Below are 24,606 nucleotides of genomic sequence, written 5' to 3' on the forward strand. Positions count from 1 at the left end.
CACTTTGGGAGGCTGAGGTGAGGGGATTGCTTGAACCCAAGAGTTCAAGACCAGCCTGGGCAACATGGCGAGACCCTGTCTCGAAGAAAATACAAAAATTAGCTGCATGTGGTGGTGCATGCCTGTAGTCCCAGGTACTGAGGAGGCTGAGGCAGGAGGATCCTTTGAGCCCAGGAGGTCGAGGCTGCAGTGAGCCGTGATCACACCAGTGCACTGCAGCCTGGGCAACAGCATGAGACCCTGTCTCAGAATAAAAAAGTGTTTCTTTCTCAGAAGACAGAGTACAGAAGATGTTTGTTTTTGTTTTTTCTCTCTCTGTGCTACAGGGGAAGGTGTGGCTCATTGACTTTAATCCATTTGGTGAAGTCACAGATTCACTGCTGTTCACCTGGGAAGAACTGATATCTGAGAACAACTTAAACGGCGATTTTAGTGAAGTTGACGCTCAAGAGCAGGTACAACATTTTTAAGACAGATACAATGTAAACCTTTCCAGTCTACTGACTGACTGCTTGTTCTTCAGACGCATAGGTAGGCGGCAATGGCCAGGACCCTTGGGAAGCGCAGAGTGTAACACAGCTTTACTAATAGCTAACCTGCCCATGGTGGTGGTCAAAGAAGGGGGCCCCACTTAACTTTATATACAGAAGTCAGGATCATCTGATCAGTTTTTTTAGTTCTTTTTCTGAGCTTCTTCTGTCACACCCACCTGGAGGAATCTTGGTCCCAGATCAGCTCATGCATCTGTTCCTTCTGACCCCAGCCCCAGCTGCTGAGGCCGACAGAGAAGTTACACACGTGCAGCCCAGCGGATTCCTGTCAGCTTTCTCCTCCATTTCCACGGTGACTGGCTCACGCCTTGATGCTTCTCAGTCTCCCATCATTCCTTCCTTCCTCTCAGCAGATGATTTAACTTGCTGTTTCCCGGAAAAGGGAACCCACTGATGAGAATTCCCTCAGTTGATTTCTCATCACACCTACAAGCTTGTCCGTCCCTTCCTGAGTCTAATCTCCCCCCTCCATACACTTGTGTCCCCCTCTGTCATCTCCCCACTCTGGACACTGTGTCCTCCTCTGTCACCTCCCCCCTCAGTACACTGTGTCTTCCTCTCTCACCTCCCCCTCAGGACACTGTGTCCTCCTCTCTCTCACCTCCCCCTCAGGACACTGTCCTCCTCTCTCACCTCCCACTCTGGACACTGTGTCCTCCTCTCTCACCGCCCACTCCGGACACTGTGTCCTCCTCTCTCTCACCTCCCCCTCAGGACACTGTCCTCCTCTCTCACCTCCCACTCCAGACACTGTGTCCTCCTCTCTCTCACCTCCCCCTCAGGGCACCGTGTCCCCCTCTCTCACCTCCCCCTCAGGACACTGTCCTCCTCTCTCACCTCCCACTCTGGACACTGTGTCCTCCTCTCTCTCACCTCCCCCTCAGGACACTGTCCTCCTCTCTCACCTCCCACTCCGGACACTGTGTCCTCCTCTCTCACCTCCCCCTCAGGACACTGTGTCCTCCTCTCTCACCTCCCCCTAAGGACACTGTCCTCTTCTCGCACCTCCCACTCTGGACACTGTGTCCTCCTCTCTCACCTCCCACTCCGGACACTGTGTCCTCCTCTCTCACCTCCCCCTCAGGACACCGTGTCCCCCTCTCTCACCTCCCCCTCAGGACACTGTGTCCTCCTCTCTTACCTCCCCCTCAGGACACTGTGTCCTCCTCCTCTTTCTCCAGATGCCCTCTGCTCTTTTTGCAATTCTTCCTCTCTATCAACTCTGTCCATCCGGATTTAGTCATGCTCAGATACCTCCCATCCGAAAAAAACAAAACATTGTTCAACCCGGTTTCTTCACCCAGCCACTCTCTCCTTTCCTGCCAGCTTCACAGCCAGACTTTCCTGAAACAACTTTGTAGTGCTGTTTTCTGCCCATAAAAGTAACATGTCCAAGACGGGCGGATCAGGAAGTCAGGGTATCGAGACCATCCTGGCTAACACGGTGAAAACCTGTCTCTACTAAAAATACAAAAAAAAAATTAGCCGGGCGTGGTGGCGGGCGCCTGTAGTCCCAGCTACTTGGGAGGCTGCGGCAGGAGAATGGCATGAATCCGGGAGGCAGAGCTTGCAGTGAGCCGAGATTGTGCCACTGCACTCCAGCCTGGGCGACAGGGCAAGACTGTCTCAAAAAAAAAAAAGTAACGTGCTCATTCTTAAAGAAAATTATAAAATCACTTATGATTTGAGAACCTTGAGAACCAGTGTTTATATTTTGATACATAACGTGCATTTAAACACATGCATAGACCTTTGTAAATAAATGAAATCATACTACATACTCAATTACATGTCCTGAGATTTTCACAGTGTTCTCTTGTGAGCATTTTATATCTTTTAAAAAATAGTTTTGGGCCAGACGTAGTGGCTCACACCTGTAATCCCAGCACTTTGGGAGGCCGAGGCTGGTGGATCACCTGAGGTCAGGAGTTCGAGACCAGCCTGGCCAACATGGTGAAACCCCGTCTCTACTAAAAATACAAAAAATTAGCTGGGCATGGTGGCAGATGCCTGTAATCCCAGCTACTTGGGAGGCTGAGGCAGGAGAATTGCTTGAACCTGGAAGGCGGATGTTGCAGCAGTGAGCCAAGATCACGCCATTGCACTCCAGCCTGGGTGACAGAGCGGGACTCCGTCTCAAAAAAAAAACAGGCCAGGTGCGGTGGCTCACACCTGTAATCCCAGTACTTTGGGAGGCTGAGGCAGGTGGATCACCTGAGGTTGGGAGTTCGAGACCATCCTGATCAACGTGGAGAAACCCCGTCTCTACTAAAAGTAAAAAAATTAGCCAGGCATGGTGGTGCATGCCTGTAATCCCAGCCACTCGGGAGGCTGAGGCAGGAGAATCGCTTGAACCTGGGAGGTGGAGGTTGCGATGAGCTGAGATTGCTCCATTGCATCCAGCCTGGGCAACAAGAGTAAAACTTCGTCTAAAAAAAAAAAATTAGTTTTGGCAGCTGGGCATGGTGGTTCATGCCTGTAATCCCAGCACTTTGGGAGGCCGAGGCAGGCAGATCACCTGAGGTCAGGAGTTTGAGACCAGCCTGGCCAACATAGTGAAATCCCTATCTCTACTAAAAATACAAAAATTAGCCGGACGTGGTGACGCGCGCCTGTAGTCCCAGCTACTTGGGAAGCTGAGGTGGGAGAATCACTTGAACCTGGGAGGCAGAGGTTGCAGTGAGCAACAGAGACCTGGGCAACAGAGATCGTGCCCCTGCACTCCAGTCTGAGAACAGAGCGAGACTTTGCCTCAAAAAAAAAAAAAAAAATAGTTTGGCATGGGTGCAACAGCCCACCTAGCCTATAATCTTAACACTTTGGGAGGCCAAGGCAGGAGGATTGCTTCAGCTCAGGAGTTCAAGACCAGCCTGGGCAACATACTGAGATATTTTCTGTACTAAAATTTAAAAAACTCAGCTGGGCGTGGTGGCGCATGCCTATAGTCCCAGCTACTTGGGAGGCTGAAGTGCGAGGTTCACCTGAGCCCAGGAGGTCGAGGCTGCAGTGAGCCACTGCACTCCAGCTGGAATTACAGACGTGAGCCACCGTGCCCGGCTCATTTTAACTTAAGCATCTTCCTTTCTCCTCATCAAGTACAGAGGAAAACATGGAGTTGAAATTGTTTTGCTAGGTTCTTTTTTAGTTCACAGAATAGGCCTAAAAATAAATGATTGATATTCTTTCTCCTTTTTCTTCTTTGTACAGGATTCCCCAGCTTTCCGTTGCACAAACAGTGAAGTGACAGTCCAGCCCAGCCCCTATTTGAGTTACCGGCTACCCAAGGACTTTGTAGACCTCTCTACTGGGGAGGACGCTCACAAGCTAATAGACTTCCTTAAGCTGGTAAAGTCTATGTGCATTTAGTATGCTGGCCATCTTTTCAAATAGACCTTCAAATTGGCTTTTATATAATATTTCATTGGAATCCTGTATCACCTAGACTTTGATGGTTATGAATGGAACCAAGTTACTGAGTTAGAGCATTTTCTAATTAAATATGAAATAGGAGCTGAAGGCATAATTTATTGATTAGAATGACAGAAAATGTTTTTATGCTGTACATGCCTTTTGAACATTTTTCAAAATACTTGTAACTTTGAAGAAAGTGTGTATATTGTTAGAAGGCTGTAAGGAGAGCAGGTCTCTGCTCTGGTGGTGATTTTACTCAAGAGGGGATGTGAATATTTATATTTTTGTGTGGATTTCTGTGTAGGAGTTTTTGTATGTATGGAAGAAAGAGAAGAAAATACTCAAATACCTGAGGATAATTTGCTCAGGAGTCAAAGTGATAAACTAGTTTAATGAATTAAAGCATGGTTTTCCATGACAATTTTTAATTACATCCTTTGCCAAGACCTCTAGAAAATTACACCTGCTGAGCAGATATCCCAAGGAGCATGTGCTATTTTAACATCCCCTTGGTTTTCTTTGACAGAAGAGAAATCAGCAGGAGGACGACTGATGAGCGTACTGGAACTGGAGAAGAGGAGGCCCCGCCCCACCGCTCCGGGAGCTGCTCATCAGCCGCAACTTCCTGCCGACCCTGATGCGGGTGGGCCGAGCAGTGTGGACATCAGCCACTTTTTATATTCATGTACATTCACCTGGGGAAAAAAACGGAGGGACTTTGCTACTTGTAAAAATAACATAATAAATAGATCTTAAACATAGGAAAACCATACTGTTCTGATAATAAAATGCTTTCTATGAAATACGTTGCTTTTCTACCGAGTCATTATTTTATTTATTTATTTTAATTTTAATTTTTTGAGACAGTCTCGCTGTGTCGCCCATGCTGGAGTGCACTGGTGCGATCTCGGCTCACTGCAACCTCCACCTCCTGGTTCAAGCGATTCTCCTGCCTCAGGCTCCCAAGTAGCTGGGATTACAGGTGCATGCCACCACACCCAGCTGAGTTTTATATTTTTAGTAGAGGTAGGGTCTCACCGTGTTGGCCAGGCTGGTCTGGAACTCCTGATCCTCAAGTGATTTGCCCACCTTGGCCTCCCAAAGTGCTGGGATTATAGGTGTGAGCCACCACGCCCGCCCTGTTTTGTTTAGGGACAGTCTTGTTCTGTTGCCCAGTCTGGGGTGCAGTGGCACAATCACAGCTCACTGCAGCCTCAATCTCCTGGACTCAGGCAGTCCTGCCTCAGCCTCCTGAGTAACTGGGACTACAGGTGCACACCACCACGCCCAGCTGATTTTTGTATTTTTTTGTAGAGATGGGGTTTTGCCATGTGGCGTTTTTAAAAGGCCACCATTTTTAAGTGATGATATCAATTGTGCCTAATTTACCGAGGCTTTATGATGTGCCAGACATTCTACTAAGAGCTCTTTCTGTATTAGTTGACATCACCAAGCAATTTGAAGGATACAGACATCACAATTTCCCAGGGTACCTGCCCGACGTGGTATCCGGTGGTAATCTTCGTCCTCAGTACTTGATCTTTGTATTCAGTACATCAGATGCCCTTTTTTTCTTTTTTTTAAGTAGTAGAGATGGGGTTTCCCTGTGTTGCCCATACTGATCTCAAACTCCTGGCCTTAAGCAATCCTCCTGCGTCAGCCTTCCAAACTGCTAGGATTACAGGTGTGAGCCACTGTGTCTGGCCTCAATTGCCATTTGTGGGGCCAGTTGTTTTTTTGTTTGTTTTTGAGATGGAGTTTTGTTCTTGTTGCCGAGGCTGGAGTGCAATAGTGCCATCTTGGCTCACCGCTACCTCTGTCTCCTGGGTTCAAGCGATTCTCCTGCCTCAGCCTCCTGAGTAGCTGGGATTACAGGCATGTGGCACCATGCCCAGCTAATTTTTTATTTTAAGTAGAGATGAGGTTTCTCCATGTTGATGGGGCTTGTCTTGAACTGCTCACCTCAGGTTATCTGCTTGCCTCGACCTCCCAAAGTGCTGGGATTACAGGTGTGAGCCGCCGCCCCTGGCCTCAACTGTTTAATGTACAGGTACTTCAGAAATACTTTTGTTTTTTTAAACTGCTTACAGGTGCCTATCCACCTATGATGGATTTAGTATCAAGGGTTGATTTTAAGTTTAGCTCTGGAAGCTGGCTTTGTCAAGATGGCATTTTACCAAGCCAAAAAAAAAGTAAATATATTTGATACCAATTGAAAACATTCAGACTAGGCTGGATGTGGTGGCTCATGCCTGTAATCCCAGCACTTTGGGAGCCCGAGACCGGCAGATCATCTAAGATCAGGAATTCAAGACCAGTCTGACCAATATGGTGAAATGCCATCTCTACTAAAAATGCAAAAATTAGCTGGGTGTGGTGGTGGGCGCCTGTAGTCCCAGCTACTTGGGAGGCTGAGGCAGAAGAATGACTTGAACCTGGGAGGCGGAGGTTGCAGTGAGCTGAGATTGCACCACTGCACTCCAGCCTGGGTGACGGAGCGAGCCTCCATCCCCCACAAAAAAGAAAACTATATTCAGACTATATAAAATAAAAAGACCCAAGCAAAATTTGGCAGAGAGTTCATAAACTGTACAATTCTCATTACACTTTTGCGCACATTTTCCTGGGGAAACTGGACTTCAACTCCCAGGTCACTTTCTAAAATGTGATTTTTGTGCATTGTTTACTTAGTGTATTTAATTTTAGTTGATTTTCCTGATGTTAATATCAGGAAATATAGGATACTATGCAGGAAATATTCTCCTAAAGCCCAGTATAATTTATGCCTGCCTAAAAATTACTTCTGTTTTAAGACAGAGTCTCACTCTATCTCCCAGGCTGGAATACAGTGGCACGATCTGAGCTCACTGCAACCTCTGCCTCTTGGGTTCAAGCAATTCTCCTGCCTCAGCCTCCTGAGTAGCTGAGATTACAGGTATGCATCACCACATCCAGCTAATTTTTGTGTTTTTAGTAGAGATGGGGTTTCACTATGTTAGTCAGGCTGATCTCAAACTCCTGGCCTCAAGAGATCCGCCCGCCTCGGCCTCCCAAAGTGCTGGGATTACAGGCGTGAGCCACCGCGCCCAGCTCTTAAGTTTTGAATCGTCCTTTTATTTTACTGGCATTTGTTCTTTCTTTGAGGTACCTCAGGCTTGTGCTTGAATTCAGAAAATGGAAACCTGTGTGCTTCCTCAGCGTGTCCCTGCAGTCCTTCCTTCTGAAGAGAAGACGCTGCTGCAGTTGCCTTTGAAGGGTTGGGGTAAATATGTGCTTTGTCCTGCAGGTGGTGTCATGTCGCATGGGCCTCCTGGAGACAGCACGCTTTGCCAGTTTTGTTTTCAAGAGTCTCATTTGATTTGCATTTTCTGAGTTCGTAAGGTTTTCTCATCTCAACCATTTCTCTTTTTGATGATTGAGGATCGTTAAAAAACAAGCAGAAACCTTATGTGACAGTTTTTTTGACTAAGTTTGTTACCTGCAAAGGGTAAGAAGAGTTTTCTGGAGTCCGTTAAGTGAGATAACTCATAAACCTGTAGCGTAGTGCACTGCACGTCACAGACCACAGACAAATGGTAGCTATTGTCAATCATTCTGCTTGGCAGACTTCTGTACAGTATATGAAAGGCACGTTCTTTTTAACAGAGTCAAGAAAAAAATATATATATATATTTAGTAGAGACGGGGTTTCGCCATGTTGACCATGGCTGGTCTCAAACTCCTGACTTCAGGTGATCCATCCACCTCAGCCTCCCAAAGTGCTGGGATTGCAGGTGTGAGCCACCACGCCCAGTCCCTTCTTTTCTTTTTTGACAGATGACGAAACTGCTCCCCAAAGATGTTGACTTTCCCAAAACCTTCCCTGTAGCAGGATCTAAACATTGTTTTATTCACATGTTGTCCTTGGCTCATGCTAAGGAAAGAATAAATCACGGTAAACTTACCACTCACACACAGTGCAGGTATGTATACACCTTAGAAAGATACAGCTGAGCACGGTGGCTCACGCCTGTAATCCCAGCACTTTGGGAGGCCGAGGCGGGCAGATCACAAGGTCAGGAGATCGAGACCATCCTGGCCAACATGGTGAAACCCTGTCTCTACTAAAATACAAAAAATTAGCCGGGCACGGTGGTGCATTCCTGTAGTCCCAGCTACTCGGGAGGCTGAGGCAGGCGAATTGCTTGAACCCGGGAGGCAGAGGTTGTAGTGAGCTGAGATCACGCCACTGCACTCCAGCCTGGCAGCGGAGTGAGATTCTGTCTCCAAAAAAGAAAAAAAAAGAAAGATGCTTGAGGACTAGGCCGTGCATGGTGGCTCATGCCTGTAATCCCAGCACTTTCGGAGGCCGTGTTAGGTAGATTGCTTGAGGTTAGGAGTTCAAGACCAGCCTGGCCGACATGGTGAAACCCCGTCTCTACCAAAACTACAAAAAATTAGCCAGGTGTGGTGGTGCGCACCTGTAATCCCCACGATTTGGGAGGCTGAGGCAGGAGAATCACTTGAACCTGGGAGGCAGAGGTTGCAGTGAGCCAAGATTGTGCCACTGCACTTCAGCCTGAAACAGCAAGATTCCATCTCAAAAACAAACAAACAAAAAGATTGAGGAACAGAAATCTAAGACATCGTAACAAAAATGTAGTGAAGAAATAGCTAAAAGTTATACGGTTAGGCAAAAAGTCTGGCATGAATGACCTAAAGAGAGAATGCATTCAGGTGCGTCTTTTTTTTTTTTTTAATCAAAGAAAACCAAAATAAAATGATACTGGCAACATAGTAAGACCCTGTCTCTAAAAAAAGTTGTTTTTTTTTTTTAAAGACAAATTAGCCAGACATGCTGGTGCATGCCTGTAGTCCTAACGACATAGGAGGCTGAGGCAGGAGGATCGCTTGAGCCCAGGAGTTCAAGGCTGCAGTGAGCTATGATCTCACCACTGCACCGCCTCCCCTCCCCGCGCAAAAAAAAAAAATAGATAAAAAGGAAAGAAAGGAAGAGTCCTGGCGCGGTGGTTCACACCTATAATCCCAGCACTTTTGGAGGCCAAGGTGGGTGGATCACCTGAGGTCAGGAGTTTGAGACTAGCCTGGCCAACATGGTGAAACTCTGCCTCTACTAAAAACACAAAAAAATTAGCCAGGCATTTTGGCACGTGCCTGTAATCCCAGCTACTCAGGTGGCTGAGGCAGGAGAATTGCTTGAATTTGGGGGGTGGAGGTTGCAGTGAGCCGAGATTGTGCCACTGCACTCCAGCCTGGGCAACAGGCACAGAGCCAGGCTGAAGCCCTAGTGTTCTCCAAACTGTCACCCCAGACTCACAATATGTACTAGATAAATTGCAGGTCGTCTTCTTTTCTTCCTTCCAACTGAGTTCATTCCCCCACCCTCCCTCTGTTTTCTCCTCCTAAGAAGTCATTTTGTTCAGCCACAGTTTATAAGCAGGGCCCACTGTTTAGGTCTGAGGAACAGGACAGGGTTGTACTAAGCACTTAGGCAATGATTCTTATCTGGGAAGGGCTGACAGCTTATTCTTTAATGTCTACAAATTGCTTTGAAGACAAAAAATGCTACAAAAATGTCAAGTAATGTTATTGCTTTTAGGAACATTTGTTTTCCACCTTGTGAAAGGCATATATCTCAGGTCAATGAAAGCTCAAGCTTCCAAAGCCAGACTGAGTTTCTCTCACTTACAAAAGAAGCATAGCCTCCTTTGCATGTATTGGTAATGCTGAGAGCATTGGAGTTCTTAGTTCTTTACAAAAAAAAAAAAAGTCACCAAAGAAAGAGGACACCAGGAGGCCGGGCACGGTGGCTCATGCCTGTAATCCCAGCACTTTGGGAGGCCGAGGCAGGTGGATCATGAGGTCAGGAGATCAAGACCATCCTGGCCAACATGGTGAAACCTCGTCTCTACTAAAAATACAAAAATTAGCTGGGCGTGGTGGCACATGCCTGTAATCCCAGCTACCTGGGACCCTGAGGTAGGAGAATCACTTGAAACAGGGAGTCGGAGGTTGCAGTGAGCCGAGATCGGGCCACTGCACTCCAGCCTGGCGACAGAGTGAAACTCCGTCTAAAAAAAGAAAGAGGACACCAGGAGCTGGACGCAGTGGCTCAAGCCTGTAATCCCAGCACTTTGGGAGGCCGAGGCGGGAGGATCAATTGAGGTCAGGAGTTCGAGACCAGCCTGACCAACATGGCGAAACCCCCGTCTCTACTAAAAATACAAAAATTAGCCAGGCGTGGTACTGGGCACCTGTAATCCCAATTACTCGGGAGGCTGACGCGGGAGAATCATTTGAACTCAGGAGGCACAGGTTGCAGTGAGCCGAGATCATGCCATTTCACTCCAGCCTGGGCAACAGAGCGAGACTCTGTCTCAAAAAAAAAAAAAAAAAAAAAAGCGCCAGGTAGGGACATAGGAAAGAAGGAATGGAGAGGAAGGAATACTCTCAAATACTTTTTTTTTTTTGGAGACTGGGTCATGCTCTATTGCCCAGGCTGGAGTTCAGTGGCATGATGATAGCTCACTGCAGCCTCCAATGGCTGCCCTCAAGCGATCTTCCCAACTCAGCCTCAGATGTAGCTGGGACTATAGGCACACACCACCATGCCTGGCTGATTTTACTTTCATTTTTTTTGTTACCCAGGATGGTTTGGAACCCCTAGACTCAAGTGAACCTCCCGTCTCAGCCTCCCAAAGTGCTGGGATTACAGGCATGAGCCACGATGCCTGGCCACTCTCAGGTCCTCATGGGGAAATAAATGGAGTATAAATGGATACAGCATTGTAAACAGACAATTTAAAAGACAGTCCGTGCAGAAAGGTCACTGGTACCTCTCAATGAGTTTATAGGTATGAGGAGTGAAAAGGACATCATATGGCCACCTCTCATCACCCTTGGTGGCCACAGACTTGTCTTTTTTGAAATCAAAATGAGAATGTCCAAATCAATCTTTTTTTCTGGCCAGCAGGGGGGAAGGGGGGATGGAGTCTTGCTCTCGTAGCCCAGGCTGGGGTGAAATGGCACAATCTTGGCTCACTGCAATCTCCGCCTCCCAGGTTCAAGCAAGTCTCCCATCTCAGCCTCCCTGGTAGCTGAGATTACAGGCACCCGCCACCACGCCCGGCTAATTTTCGTATTTTTAGTAGAAACGGGGTTTCGCCTCCCAAAGTGCTGAGATTATAGGCATAAACCACCGCGCTAGGCCCGAATGAGTCTTAAGAAAGGAGAGACAAAGATCCCAGGGTATGATTTGCTCACTTCTGGATTTTGAATGCAAAATAATGCTCCCCCAAAACTCGAATAATGGGAAGAAGTATGGTCAATCAGTTAAGCAGTTTTGGTTGCAAACAACAGAAACTAACTCTAGTTAATGAAAGCATGTACTGGAAGGATGTGAGGTGCCTCAGGAAATTGGCGCAAAGTGTGTAAGCTCCACAGAGAGAACGGAGACTGGGAAAACTTTGGAGACGCAAAAGACACTATCCCAGGACTTAGCTACTAGAGAGATTCTGCCTTCTGTCCTGATGACACTGGGCTCAAGATTCAGTATCCGGCTGGGTGCCATGGCTCACGCTTGTAATTCCAGCACTTTGGGAGGCCAAGGCGGGTGGATCACCTGAGGTCAGGAGTTTGAGACCAGCCTGGCCATCATGGTGAAACCCCATTTCTACTAAAAATACAAAAATTAGCCATGTGTGGCAGCGGGTGCCTGTAATCCCAGCTACTCGGAAGGCTGAGGCAGGAGAATTGCTTGAACCTGGGAGGCAGAGGTTGCAGTGAGCCGAGATTGCACCATTGCACTCTAGCCTGGGCAACAAGAGTGGAACTCCATCTCAAAAAAAAAAAAATTAAAATTATTTTTTTGTCTCCCAGGCTAGAGTGCAGTGGCATGATTATGACTCATTGCAGCCTCAATTTCCGAGGCTCAAGCTATCTTCCCACCTCAGCCTCCTGAATAGCTGGGACTACGGGAATACACCACCACGCCTGGCTAATTTATTTTTATTTTTAGCAGAAACAAGGTCTTGCCATGTTGCCCAGGCTGGTCTTGAACTCCTGAGCTCCAGCAGATCCTCCTGCCTCAGCTTCCCAAAGTGCTGGGATTACAAGCATGATCCACAACGCCGGGACCCTTCCCAGTGTTCTCTATGATCCTTTCTGCATCTCCATCCAGTACCCTCAGGACCTCACATCTGTCTGTCTGTAATAACCAACCAGTTGGGCTTGCAAACCTGCTTCTATCTTCCTCCTGCCTTTCTTGTTTGATATAGATTCCATATACCCCATGTAATTTCACTCTGATCTGTGTAAACTTATTTTCCACGACCCTTAAAACATCCTCAGCTCCCAGCAAGTCTGCCTTCTCCATGTTCTTTCAATATCCGCGGCATTCCTGCTTGCTGCCTCCCCTCGAAGCTTCCTGCTCACCTGGAATATGAATGCCCTCCTTAAGCTCATCTGTTCATTTAGGCCAGAGATTCTCAGTCTTAGTCGTATATTCTTTTTCTTTTCTTTTTTTTTTTTTAGACGGAGTCTTGCTCTGTCTCCCAGGCTGGAGTGCAGTAGCGCGATCTTGGCTCACTGCAAGCTCCGCCTCCCAGGTTCACGTCATTCTCCTGCCTCAGCCTCCCAAGTAGCTGGGACTACAGGCGCCCGCCACCACACCCGGCTAATTTTTTGTATTTTTAGTAGAGACGGGGTTTCACTGTGTTAGCCAGGATGGTCTCGATCTCCTGACCTCGTTATCCACCTGCCTTGGCCTCCCAAAGTGCTGGGATTACAGGCTTGAGCCACAGCACCCGGCCATATACTCTTTTTCTTTTTCTTTCTTTTTTTTTTTTTTCCACATAGAAACAGGTATGTGCATTGGGTGGGGTGGGGGGGGGGTCTTGCTATGTTGCCCAGGCTGGTCTCAAACTCCTGACCTAAGGATCCTCCCACCTTGGCCTCTCAAAGTGCTGAGATTACAGGCATGAGCCACTGCACCCGGCCCCTAGTTGTGTATTCTAATTACCTGGAGAGTATTTTTTTCTTAATCAATGGAGAATACTCATCCAGACCAATTAAACTGAAATCTCTGGGGCCCAGTAGTTTGTTCTTGTTTTTGTTTTTGTCTTTTGCTTTTGAGAGGGAGTCTCCCCTCTGTTGCCCAGGCTGGAGCATAGTGGTATGATCTCTGCTCACTGCAACCTCTGCCTCCCGGGTTCAAGTGATTCTCCTGCCTCAGCCTCCTGAGTATCTGGGATTATGGGTGCCTGCCACCACACCCGGCTAATTTTTGTATTTTTAGTAGAGATGGAGTTTCACCATGTTGGCAGTGGTTGGCCAGGCTGGTCTCAAACTCCTGACCTCAGGTGATCTGCCTGCCTCGGCCTCCCAAAGTGCTGGGATTACAGGCATGAGCCACCAGCTGGGCCCAGTAGTTTGTTGTTTATGTTTGTTTGTTTGTTTTGAGACAGAGTTTCACTCTTGTTTCCCAGGCTAGAGTGCAATGGTGCAATCTCGGCTCTTCACAACCTCTGCCTCCCGGGTTCAAGCAATTCTCCTGCCTCAGCCTCCTGAGTAGCTGGGATTACAGACATGTGCCACCATACCCGGCTAAATTTTGTATTTTTCAGTAGAGACGGGGTTTCCCCATGTTGGTCAGACTGGTCTCCAACTCGTGACCTCAGGTGATCCGCCTGCCTTGGCCTCCCAAAGTGCTGGAATTACAGGCGTGAGCCACCGCGTCCAGCCAAGGCCCAGTAGTTTTAAACATCCCCCAAATAATTCTAATGTACTGCTAAGGTTTAGAACCCCTATTTAAATATTAGGCCTTATGTGAGCATCTGTTAACCCCTCCTGCTCCTAAGGCCCTCCCAGATCAATGTAGCCACTATACCTTTGTCCTCCTTCTTTGAGCTTCTAGAGAGCTACAGTCCACATTATCAAACCAGCAGCTCGTTACCTGCTTTATTGTATTAATTGCTAGTTGTCTAGGTGTTTGTTTATATGACAAGCTCCTGAGGCAGGAACAAAATGCTTAGATTAATAAGCTTTTCCAGATAATGAAATATAATACAAAATAGATGGAGACACCCTCAAGAGTATTCCAAGTCACTGCGAGCGGGCAGGAGAGAGGAAATTGTCCCCACAAAGTTCATATGTTGAAGTCCTATAACCTTCATACCTGAGAATCTGACTGTGTTTGGAGACAGGCCCTTTACAGAGGTGATGAAGCTAAAATGAGGCCTTCGAAGTGGGTCCTAATCCAATATGAGGGTGTTCTTATCAGAAGAGGAAATCTGGACACAAAGACACCAGGGATGCCCAAGCGCAGAGGAAAGGCCACATCCAGGACACAGCAAGAGGGTGGCCATCTGCACACTGTGGAGAGAGACCTCAGAAATGCACCCTGCCGACACCCTGATCTTGGACTTCCAGCCTCCAGAACTGTGAGACAATAAATCATGTTGTTTAAGCCACCCTTAAAACCCTGTCTGTTGTATTTGGTTATGACAGCCCCAGCAAACTAACACATGAAGTAAAGGTGTAGGAAAATTAAAATTATAAGTTTAGGGAAAGTAATCGAAATCATCCTTATGAGCTCTGAGCTAGCAGATGCCATTCGTTAACAGGATCAGAAACCCCTGTAAATTGCCCTCCCAGGCAATACTAGCCTGATGCACTGCTAAATGCCAAATGCATCTTTACAAAGGATATTAGAAACACACAAACCCATGCCCATGCATAGAGCACAGCAGAGGAACACCTATACCTGGCAGACTAGGGTTTTTTGTTTTTTTGTTTTATTGTTTTCAGACAGAGTCTTGCTCTGTTGCCAGGCTGAAGTGCAGTGGCATGATCTCGGCTCACTGCAATCTCTGCCTCCTGGGTTCAAGCAATTCTTGTGCCTCAGCCTCCCGAGTAGCTGGGACTACAGGTGTGTACCACCACAGCCAGCTAGTTTTTGTATTTTTAGCAGAGATGGGGTTTCATCATGTTGGCCAAGCTGATCTCGAACCCCTGGCCTCAGGCAACTCTGCCCTCCTCAGCCTCCCCAAGTGCTGGGATTACAGGTGTGAGCCACCGTGCCCAGCCAGACTGTGGTTTTAAGAGGGCATTTCACATGTGAGAGCTTTAGACACCCCAAAACCTGAGTCTGTCCTGCAAGATAAAGGCACAAAATGATCAGGTGGATGGAACTGCTGCTCTTTATAAAGAGATTTTTAAAATTTCAGTCTGAATTGGGATATAGGAGCTTTTCTAGAATGATAGTATGATAATAAACTTGTCGCAGACACCCTCAAGGTGACTACCAATGAGCCCTTGTATAACCTCTTCCCTGGAGTGCAGGTGAAAACTATGACTTGATTCTAACCAATAGATTATGCTTAGAATCCTTGAAGCCCTGACCTCCTGGGATCAAGCGATCCTCCTGCCTGGGCCTCCCAAAGTGCTGGGATTACAGGTGTGAGCCACCGTACCCGGCCACTACATGGCCTTTGATTTCACTTTTCTCCAGCCCGCCAGCCACATCCCACCTCCGTCTCTCACCTGATTCATGCTGCTGTCTGAGGCTTCTCTGTCTCATCTTTTTTATTTATTTATTTGTCTGAAACAGAGTCTCGCTCTGTTGCCCAGGCTGCTGGAGTGCAGTGGCACAATCTTGGCTCACTGCAGCCTCCACCTCCCGGATTCAAGTGATTCTTCCACCTCAGCCTCTTGAGTAGCTGAGACTTCAGCTACAAACATCCAAACTATGTTAGATGATCATGAGGTGTCACAATAAACTCTCAGGAAAATAATGGGGGAGCCTGAAAGTGACTTTGAGTGTCAGGAAGGTTTCTGACCTCAGCTCTCTGGAAGCCAGGGGTGAGCATAGCTCAAAATATGGGACAGGCTGGGAGCAGTGGCTCACGCCTGTAATCCCAGCACTTTGGGAGGCCGAGGCGGGCAGATCACTTGAGGTCGGGAGTTTGAGACCAGTGTGGCCAACATAGTGAAAACCCATCTCTGCTAAAAATACAAAAATTAGCCGGGCATGGTGGTGTGCACCACCACGCCCAGCTAATTTTTTGTGTGTGTTTTTAGTAGAGAAGGGGTTTCCATGTTGGTCAGGCTGGTCTCAAACTCCTGACCTCAAGTGATCTACCCGCCTCAGCCTCCTAAAGTGCTGGGATTACAGGCATGAGCCACTGTCCCTGGCCAGATCATGCAATCTTAATCTGAACAAAAGAACTCAAGAGTTTGAGCGGCCGGGTACCGTGGCTCACGCCTGTAATCCCAGCACTTTGGGAGGCCGAGGTGGGTGGATTGCCTGAGATCAGGAGTTCGAGACCAGCCTGGCTACCATGGTGAACTGCATCTCTACTAAAAAAAAAAAATAAAAAATTAGCTGGGTGTGTTGGTGCGCGCCTGTAGTCCCAGCTACTCAGGAGGCTGAGCCAGGAGAATCACTTGAACCCAGGAGGCAGAGGTTGCAGTGAGCCAAGATCACACCACTGCACTCCAGCCTGGGTGACAGAGCAAGACTCTCTCTCAAAAAAAAAAAAAAAAAAAAAAAAGAGTTTGAGCAAAGGGAATTCTGATTTAATTGAAAAAAAAAATACGATCAAGCAGGTATATCTTCAAGGGCCATTATGTCCCAGGCCTTGAGTACTTCTGATGCTGTGATGAGATCAGCCAACCACACAAGACCATTCACTGAGCATCTTCTGTAAACTTGACACTGTGGTATCACCATCAACAAAGAGAAGAGTGAAAAAAACACAGAAGGGTGTTTGTAGCTTTAGGGGGCTGCGGTGTTTCACAGGTTGTTGGATTTGAGGGTCCATTTGCTGTAAGGTTGTAAAGATAGCCAGTGGCTTGGAACTCCAGTGCCACCCCCCACCACTACCCAGCCACAGACCCCAGCTTTGATTTCATAACCACACAACATACAGACTTCACACCACTCCTAACCAGTGTGGTTTACTCTCTAAATTGAACACTAAGATCTACAGATAAGACTGGGGGACTGAAAACAAGGACACCTTTGTCTCAGCCCTGGTTCTGCAGGTACAGTCAATTGTGTGATCTTTTTCCTAAGTAAATGGGACAGCTGCATCGTTTACATTAAGATTCATGCAGACAGCTCTGGTTAATTCTTTCTCAAAATAAAAACAGTTAATAGACAAACCCAAACCTCAGGTTCATTTCAGGTTGTCTGTCTGAAACCAACCTATCCATGACTATGTCTGGAAAAATTCTCTTCCCTTTTAAACCATTCAGACATGAGCTGGTACAACATAGTCTTATGGCTTGAACCTCTAGATGAAGGTTTTTTTTCTCAAAGAAAGAAAAATAATTTTTGTTTTTGTTTTTTGAGCCAGGGTCTAGCTCTGTCGCCCAGGCTAGAATGGAGTGGCACAATCTCGGCTCATTGCAACCTCCACTTACTGAATTCAAGCAATTCTCCTGCCTTAGCCTCCTGAGTAGCTGGGACCAAAGAGGTACACCACGACATCTGGCTAATTTTTGTATTTTTAGTAGAAATGGGGTTTCACCATATTGGCCAGGCTGGTCTCCAACTCCTGACCTCAAGTGATCAGCCATCTTGGCCTCCCAAAGTGCTGGGGTTACAGGCATAAGCCACTGTGCCCGTACATAATTCTCATTTTAAAAAACTTTTTATTTTTTATTTTTGCAGAACTGTCAAACTCCTTCCTCAAATTTTCTTCCTATTTTATGATTGCTGACTTTGGGGTGGGGGAAGTCGCAGTGAATATTTATTAACTGTTAGATCCAATGGAACATGTGTCATGGACTCTTTTTCAACTAAGAAGTGGAAGCTGAAGCTGTCTTTCTTTTTTGATTTTAAAATTTCACCTTTATGTTAGATTGGGAAGTACATGTGCAGGTTTGTGACAAGGGTATATTGCGGGATGCTGAGGTTTAGGGTGTGACTGAAGCCCTCATCCAGGTCGTGAGCACAGTAACCAACAGGTCGTTTTTCACGCCTTCCCCTCTCCCTCCCTCTCCCCTCTGGGAGTCCCCAGTGTCTTGTTCCCCTCCTTCCGCCCATGTGTACCCTATGTTTGGCTGCCACTTAATAAGTGAGAATATGCGGTATTTGGTTTTCCGTTTCTGCGTTAATTTGTTGAGCATAATGCTGTTTTCTTTTTTTTCTTTTAGACAGAGTTTCGCTCTTGTTGCCCAGGCTGAGTGCAGTGGTGCCATCTCAGTTCACTGCAACCTCCACCTCCCGGGTTCAAGCGATTCTCCTGCCTTAGCCTCCCGAGTAGCTGGGATTACAGGCGTGTGCCACCACGCCTGGCTAATTTTTGTATTTTTAGTTGAGATGGGGTTTCATCATATTGGTCAGGCTGGTCTCGAACTCCTGACCTCAGGTGATCCACCTGCCTCGGCCTCCCAAAGTGCTGGGATTACAGGCGTGAGCCACCGCGCCTGGCCATGCTGTTTTCTTAAACTAATCAAAAATAGTCTAAATACTGTACTTCACAGAATTTGTAAGGCTGGAAGAATCGGCCTGTGGCTGCTTCCAGCCTGGGAAAGGGATGGGCCACAAGATGGCGCCGCGCGTGCGGCGGTGAAGGCCGAGGCCGCCAGTGCCAGGTGGATGCCCGCCCTCCCCCAGGCCCTCAGGCCACGAGCAGGGGCGGGGGCACGGCTCACGATGTCATTTACACCGAGACAAAAGCCTAAATTGCTCCCTGTGCTTTCAGTGACCTAGGCCTTCCTCTCGTATTCTCTTTCTCTCGTATTCTCAAGTGTTTCTAGAAATGTGCTCTGGAGACATCCCCAAGCCAGTAGCTCCTCCCTCATTCTGAGAAGGCGGTTTAGTGCAGCTGGTCTCTGAAGGCATTGGGTGTTTTCCCCTCAGCTCCCGAGGGACAGCGTGGGAGGGTGGTGCTCTGGGCCTTCTCTCTACCATGCTTTGTTGTTGTTGATTTGTTTAAGCGCCAAACACTGAGTTTCCTTAATGTACCTGTGGGAAGATCAGTGGCAGAACTAGCAGAGGCTGTGTCCGGGCGCGGTGGCTCGCGCCTGTAATCCCAGCTACTGGGGAGGCTGAGGCAGGAGAATCGCTTGAGCCTGGGAGGTGGAGGTTGCAGTGAGCCGAGATCACACCACTACACTCCAGCATGGGTGACAGAGCGAGACTCCATCTCAAAAAAAAAAAAAAAAAAAAAAAAAAAAAAAAAAAGAACTAGCAACAAGCAAAGGCTGTGTTGCTTATGATACTTATTCCTGACAAAGGAAGGATGAACCTGAACTCTTAAATCTAAGGTGTTACCGGAAAGGGGTCCCGATCTAGACCCCAAGAGACCCTCGCACAAGAAGGAATTCAGGGCGAGTCCATAGAGTAAAGTGAAAGGAAGTTTATTAAGAAAGTAGAGAAATAAAAGAATGGCTACTCCATAGATAGAGTAGCGCAGGGGGCTGCTGGTTGTCCATTTTTATGGTTATTTCTGGATGATACGCTAAACAAGCGGTGGATTATTCATGCCTCCCCTTTTTAGACCATACAGGGTAATTCCTGATGTGGCCTTGGCATTTGTAAACTGTCATAGCGCTGGTGGGAGTGTAGCAGTGAGGACCACCAGAGGACACTGTCCTCGCCATGTTGGTTTTGGCCACTGTTTTACTGCAACCTGTTTTATCAGCAAGGTCTTTATGACCTGTGTTTTGTGCGGATCTCCTATCTTATCCTGTGACTTAGAATGCCTTAACCATCTGGGAATGCAGCCCAGTAGGTCTCAGCCTTATTTTACCCAGCTCCTGTTTAAGATGGAGTTGCTCTGGTTCAAACGCCTCTGACAAAGGGACAGTCATTTCACCTCACACATGAAAGCAAACCTAAAATTTTCTCTATTGGAAGTTCAATCTTGGCTAAGGGCATGATTTAGAAATCAAAGGAGTCTGACCTTCACGTGGTTTTGAACACTTGTGGAAAGGTAGCTGTGGGAAGGGACGTAGCCTTTGTAATGCAAGAGGAGAGAATGGGGTGTGGGGCGTGTGGCCCAGAAATGACACAGAACTCTGACAGCACTGCCCGGTTGCCATGTAGCTAGGTAAATATTTGCAAAGCACCTACTGCTTCTCCGGACTCGGGGCAAGTGTCTACTGGGCATGAAACCATCTCCGTGGGGAAGTGAGCCTTACCCAGTTCTTATCTCCCTCTTGAGGCCAAGTTCACAGAATATGACACAACTTCCAGAGGAAAGGGGGGCCTGCCAGTTCTTATCTTCCTCTCTCAGCTGGCATTGGGACATTTTAGTGGCCAGGACCAATGTGTTATCTGTAGGAGCCCTGAAGAGAAGAGGTGGGCCCAGAGGCTTTTTTTTTTTTTTTTTTTTTTTTTTTTTGAGACAGAGTCTCGTTCTGTCGCCAGGCTGGAGTGCAGTGGTGCGATCTCGGCTCACTGCAAGCTCCGACTCCCTAGTTCAAGCGATTCTCCTGCCTCAGCCTCCCAAAGAGCTGGAATTACAGGCACACACCACCACACCTAGCTAATTTTTGTATTTTTAGTAGAGACAGCGTTTCACCATGTTGGCCAGGGTGGTCTCGCTCTCCTGACCTTGTGATCCGCCTGCCTCGGTCTCCCAAAGTGCTGGGATTACAGGTGTGAGCCACCGCGCCCGGCCAAGACTCGTCTTCTGGATATTAATTCCCGGAGCTGTCATTTCCTGAGAGCTCATGATCAAGAGGCATTGAGAGGTAGACCAGCTCGCTGTATAATTGTTAGCGGTGCCAATCTGTAAGGCACGCTACAGTGTCATGGAGCTGTAATGAGATGGAAAATCATATTTCTCAGAGGTCTTCTCAGGTAGACTATTCTTTTTTAAAAATTTCAAATACAATTTAAAAACAAGTGCATGTTTTAAAATGTCATTTACCAAATCAAAAGCCAAACTAATAGAAAAAAAAATTTGTAACAAATATGCCAGATCAAAGCTTAATATAGTTAACATACAAATAAAAGGACTTCAAAATTAAACAAAATAAGATTGGGTTAAGGATGTTATACAGGCAATTCATAAAGGAAAAAACACAAATATACAATAAATATATAAAAAGATGTTCAAGACAGAATAAAAAATGCATATTACACTGTTGTAGAATAATATTTTTATGTAACCAAGTGAGAAATATTTTTAAATGGCAATATAATTGGTGTAGAAATGTAATCCTATGTAATTCTGCAATATATATGTTCAAAAGGCTTTTTTTTTCTTTTTAGGAAAGGCCTCTATTATAGATTTGATTAAAAAATATATATATATAGCCTGGCGCGGTGGTCACGCCTGTAATCCCAGCACTTTGGGAGGCTGAGGCCAGCGGATCACGAGGTCAGGAGATCGAGACCATCCTGGCTATCACAGTGAAACCCCGTCTCTACTAAAAATACAAAAAAATTAGGCGGGCGTGGTGGCGGGTGCCTGTAGTCCCAGGTACTCGGGAGGCTGAGGCAGGAGAATGGCGTGAACCCGGGAGGCGGAGCTTGCAGTGAGCCGAGATCGCGCCACTGCACTCCAGCCTGGGCGACCGAGAGAGACTTAAATAAATAAATAAATATAGAACCATTTAGATTTTCTATTTTTGTGTATCTGTTTTGCCTTTTTTTTTTTTTAGACGGGGTCTCACTCTGTCGCCAGGCTGGAGTGCAGTGGCGCAATCTTGGCTCAAGGTAACCTCCGCCTCCCGGGTTCAAGCGATTCTCCTGCCTCAGCCTCCCGAGTAGCTGGGACTACAGGCACGTGCCACCACGCCCAGCTAATTTTTGTATTTTTAGTAGAGACGGGGTTTCACCCTGTTAGCCGGGATGGCCTCAATCTCTTGACCTTGTGATCTGCCTGCCTCGGCCTCCCAAAGTGCTGGGATTACAGGTATGAGCCACCACACCCAGCCTTTTTTTTTTTTTTTTGAGACGGAGTCTCGCTCTGTCTCCCAGGCTGGAGTGCGGTGGCGCAATCTCAGCTCACTGCAAGCTCCGCCTCCCAGGTTCACGGCATTCTCCCGCCTCAACCTCTGGAGTAGCTGGGACTACGGGCACCCACCACCAGGACCGGCTAATTTTTTTTTTTTTTTTTTTTTTTTTTGTATTTTCAGTAGAGACGGGGTTTTCACCATTCACAGGATGGTCTAAATCTCCTGACCTTGTGATCCGCCCACCTCGGCCTCCCAAAGTGCTAGGATTACAGGGGTAAGCCACCGCACCTGGCCTTTTTTTTTTTTTTTTTTTTTTAGATTGTGTCTCACTCACTCTGTTGCTCAGGCTGGAGTGGAGTGGCATGATGTCAGTTCACTTGCAACCTCTGCCTCCGAGGTTCAAGCAATTCCCCTGCCTGAGCCTCCCAAGTAGCTGCGATTACAGGCATGCACCACCATGCCTAGCTAATTTTGTATTTTTAGTAGAGATGGGATTTCACCATGTTGGCCAGGGTGGTCTCTAACTCCTGACCTCAGGTGATCTGCCAGCCTCGGCCTCCCAAAGTGCTGGGATTACAGGCGTGAGCCACCGTGCCTGGCCTGTTTTGCAAGTTTTTAAAATTAAATATATATTTTCAAAAACTCAAGTCCAAAAGACTGGTCTCTTGGGTCTCTCCTCCTTTTCCAGCAATTGTGGATATAGGAATTACCCTGACCTGATCACTGTACATTATGTATATTGCAACATCACTATCTACCCTGTAAATATGTACAGCTATTATCTGTCAATTAAAATGTGTGTGTGCGTGTGTGTTTTTAAATCAGTTAGACTAGGCTGGACATGGTGGCTCATGCCTGTAATCCCAACACTTTGGGAGGCCGAGGTGGGAGGCTTGTTTGAGGCCAGGAATTCAAGACCAGCCTGGGCAATGTAGTGAGCCCCTGTCTATACAAAAAAAAAAAAAAAAAGAAAAATAATAAAATGAAAAATCAGATAGACTGTTCCAAGTGGTAGGAAGAAATACTTTGATAAGTGACTTAAGATGGAGGTAAGACACCCCACTCCCCACCCACCCTACTTGTGAGGACATACCAGAGTGACAACTCCAAGCTGCTCAACTGCCTTCCATCTGAAGAACTTGTTCGCTAAGTGGGGCACATAGTGTGGAGTTGGAGCTAAATTGTTAGGGACAAAAAAGGCTGAGTTATCAGACCTGTGCCCCGTCTGTCTCAGGCTCTTATCTGCAGAATCAGCGAAGAAATCCCTAAAGACTATGGGTTTCAGGGAGTGCCCAGTTATGAGCCTGTTACAGCACCGTGTGCCTTCACCCTGCCCAGGTGAGGGGGCCCCACAGGTGGGGGCTTCCACTTTGTTGTCTCTGTCCCTCAGGTCCCTGAGGACAATCAAGGTAGCCATACACCCTGAATTTGCAAGGGCTGTCTGGTTTTAAAGTCTCTCCCTTTGATTCAGGAAAGTCCATTCTTACTTGTCAGTCTCGTCTTGTGTCCTGACTTTTGGCTCAGAAAATCAGTCACCACAGTCTCAAAAACTTTGAACTCAGCACTTCTCTCTTCCCTGCAGTAGGAAATCCCCTATAAGATGATCAGAGACAGACCCCTTGGGAAACTGCTAGGCCAGGGGCTGGAAATTGCAGGTGTCAACTCCCAGTAGAAACACCATTGTGGATACTTAGGTGACTCAGTAGCTATGGAAGATAAGACGGATCAGAGACCAGGATCAAGGGAGATAAATATTTTCAAAGAGCTTTGAGTTATTCAAGAAAGGACTCCTCAAATGGACAGGTATGGACCCATAAAAACAGAAATTCAGTCTTCTGGCTTTAGAATTTTGCCGCTTGACAGCTCCAGCTTGCGGCCCCCTTCCCCGCCCTCCTTCCCCCGGCCCCTATCTCTCCTGCACCGCCCACCCCCAACATTACATGCCACATCTTCTGGGTGAGACTTGACAATCCTTCTTTTAAAAATTTAATTAATTAATTATTTATATGTTTTTTGAGACAGAGTCTTGCTCTGTCACCCAAGCTGGAGTACACTGGTGTGATCTTGGCTCACTGCAACCTCCGCCTCCTGGGTTCAAGCAATTCTTCTGCCTCAGCCTTCTGAGTAGCTGGGACTACAGGCATGCACCACCACACCCGGCTAATTTTTTGTATTTTTAGTAGAGACAGGGTTTCGCCATGTTGTCCAGGCTGGTCTCAAACTCCTGACCTCAGGTGATCCACCCACCTTGGCCTCCCAAAGCGCTGGGATTACAGGAGTGAGCCACCGTGCCCAGCCAGTCCTTCTTTTTTTTTTTTTTTTTATCCAATTTCTTTCCCTTTCTTTAATTCCTCTTTTGTTTTGTCAAAGTAGTTCCTGAGCATCTTTTTCATGGTGAGTACTTGTGGAATACATCTTCCAAGTTCTCCTGTGCACATCTTAATAGTGTCTCTTTGATTGCTTCACATTTGATCGATAATCTGAGTGGGTAGGGAATGCTAAATTCAAAATAGTTTCCTAGCTGGGCATGGAGTCTCACAGGTGTAATTCCAGCACTTTGGAAGGCTGAGGCAGGAGGATTGCTTGAGCCCAGGAGTTTGAGAACAGCCTTGGCAACATAGCAAGACCCTGTCTTTACAAAAAAATAAGAAAAAAAAATTAGCCAGATGTGGTGGCATGTGTTTGTAGTCCCAGCTACTCGGGAGGCTGAGGCAGGAGGATCCTT

At 47.1% G+C, this 24,606-nt stretch overlaps 1 protein-coding gene across 2 annotated transcripts in view, besides 4 other annotated features; it reads left to right on the top strand.

Annotated features, from left to right (window-relative positions):
* The window catches only part of CDC123 (cell division cycle 123), a 54,402-nt gene extending 49,635 nt beyond the window's left edge, over nucleotides 1-4,767 (top strand). For both annotated transcript variants that reach the window (NM_006023.3, XM_005252638.5), the window contains 3 exons: nucleotides 327-455; nucleotides 3,759-3,896; nucleotides 4,489-4,767. In NM_006023.3, the coding sequence (NP_006014.2) occupies nucleotides 327-455; nucleotides 3,759-3,896; nucleotides 4,489-4,515 (294 nt within the window). In that variant the 3' untranslated portion in view covers nucleotides 4,516-4,767. The remainder of the gene's footprint in view (nucleotides 1-326; nucleotides 456-3,758; nucleotides 3,897-4,488) is intronic.
* Nucleotides 17,868-17,917: a silencer, noted in NCBI's record as "silent region_2139". NCBI's record gives its function as "represses an Ori minimal core promoter by ATAC-STARR-seq in GM12878 lymphoblastoid cells {active_cell/tissue: GM12878}" and the evidence as "EXISTENCE:reporter gene assay evidence [ECO:0000049][PMID:35858748]".
* Nucleotides 18,355-18,893: an enhancer, noted in NCBI's record as "NANOG-H3K27ac hESC enhancer chr10:12306176-12306714 (GRCh37/hg19 assembly coordinates)". NCBI's record gives its function as "activates a minimal SCP1, AML or CMV promoter by ChIP-STARR-seq in naive H9 embryonic stem cells {active_cell/tissue: H9 hESC(naive)}" and the evidence as "EXISTENCE:reporter gene assay evidence [ECO:0000049][PMID:30033119]".
* Nucleotides 18,488-18,547: a silencer, noted in NCBI's record as "silent region_2140". NCBI's record gives its function as "represses an Ori minimal core promoter by ATAC-STARR-seq in GM12878 lymphoblastoid cells {active_cell/tissue: GM12878}" and the evidence as "EXISTENCE:reporter gene assay evidence [ECO:0000049][PMID:35858748]".
* Nucleotides 18,768-18,867: an enhancer, noted in NCBI's record as "active region_3038". NCBI's record gives its function as "activates an Ori minimal core promoter by ATAC-STARR-seq in GM12878 lymphoblastoid cells {active_cell/tissue: GM12878}" and the evidence as "EXISTENCE:reporter gene assay evidence [ECO:0000049][PMID:35858748]".

This window comes from Homo sapiens, chromosome 10, assembly GCF_000001405.40.
Source record: "Homo sapiens chromosome 10, GRCh38.p14 Primary Assembly".
Taxonomy (NCBI): domain Eukaryota; kingdom Metazoa; phylum Chordata; class Mammalia; order Primates; family Hominidae; genus Homo; species Homo sapiens.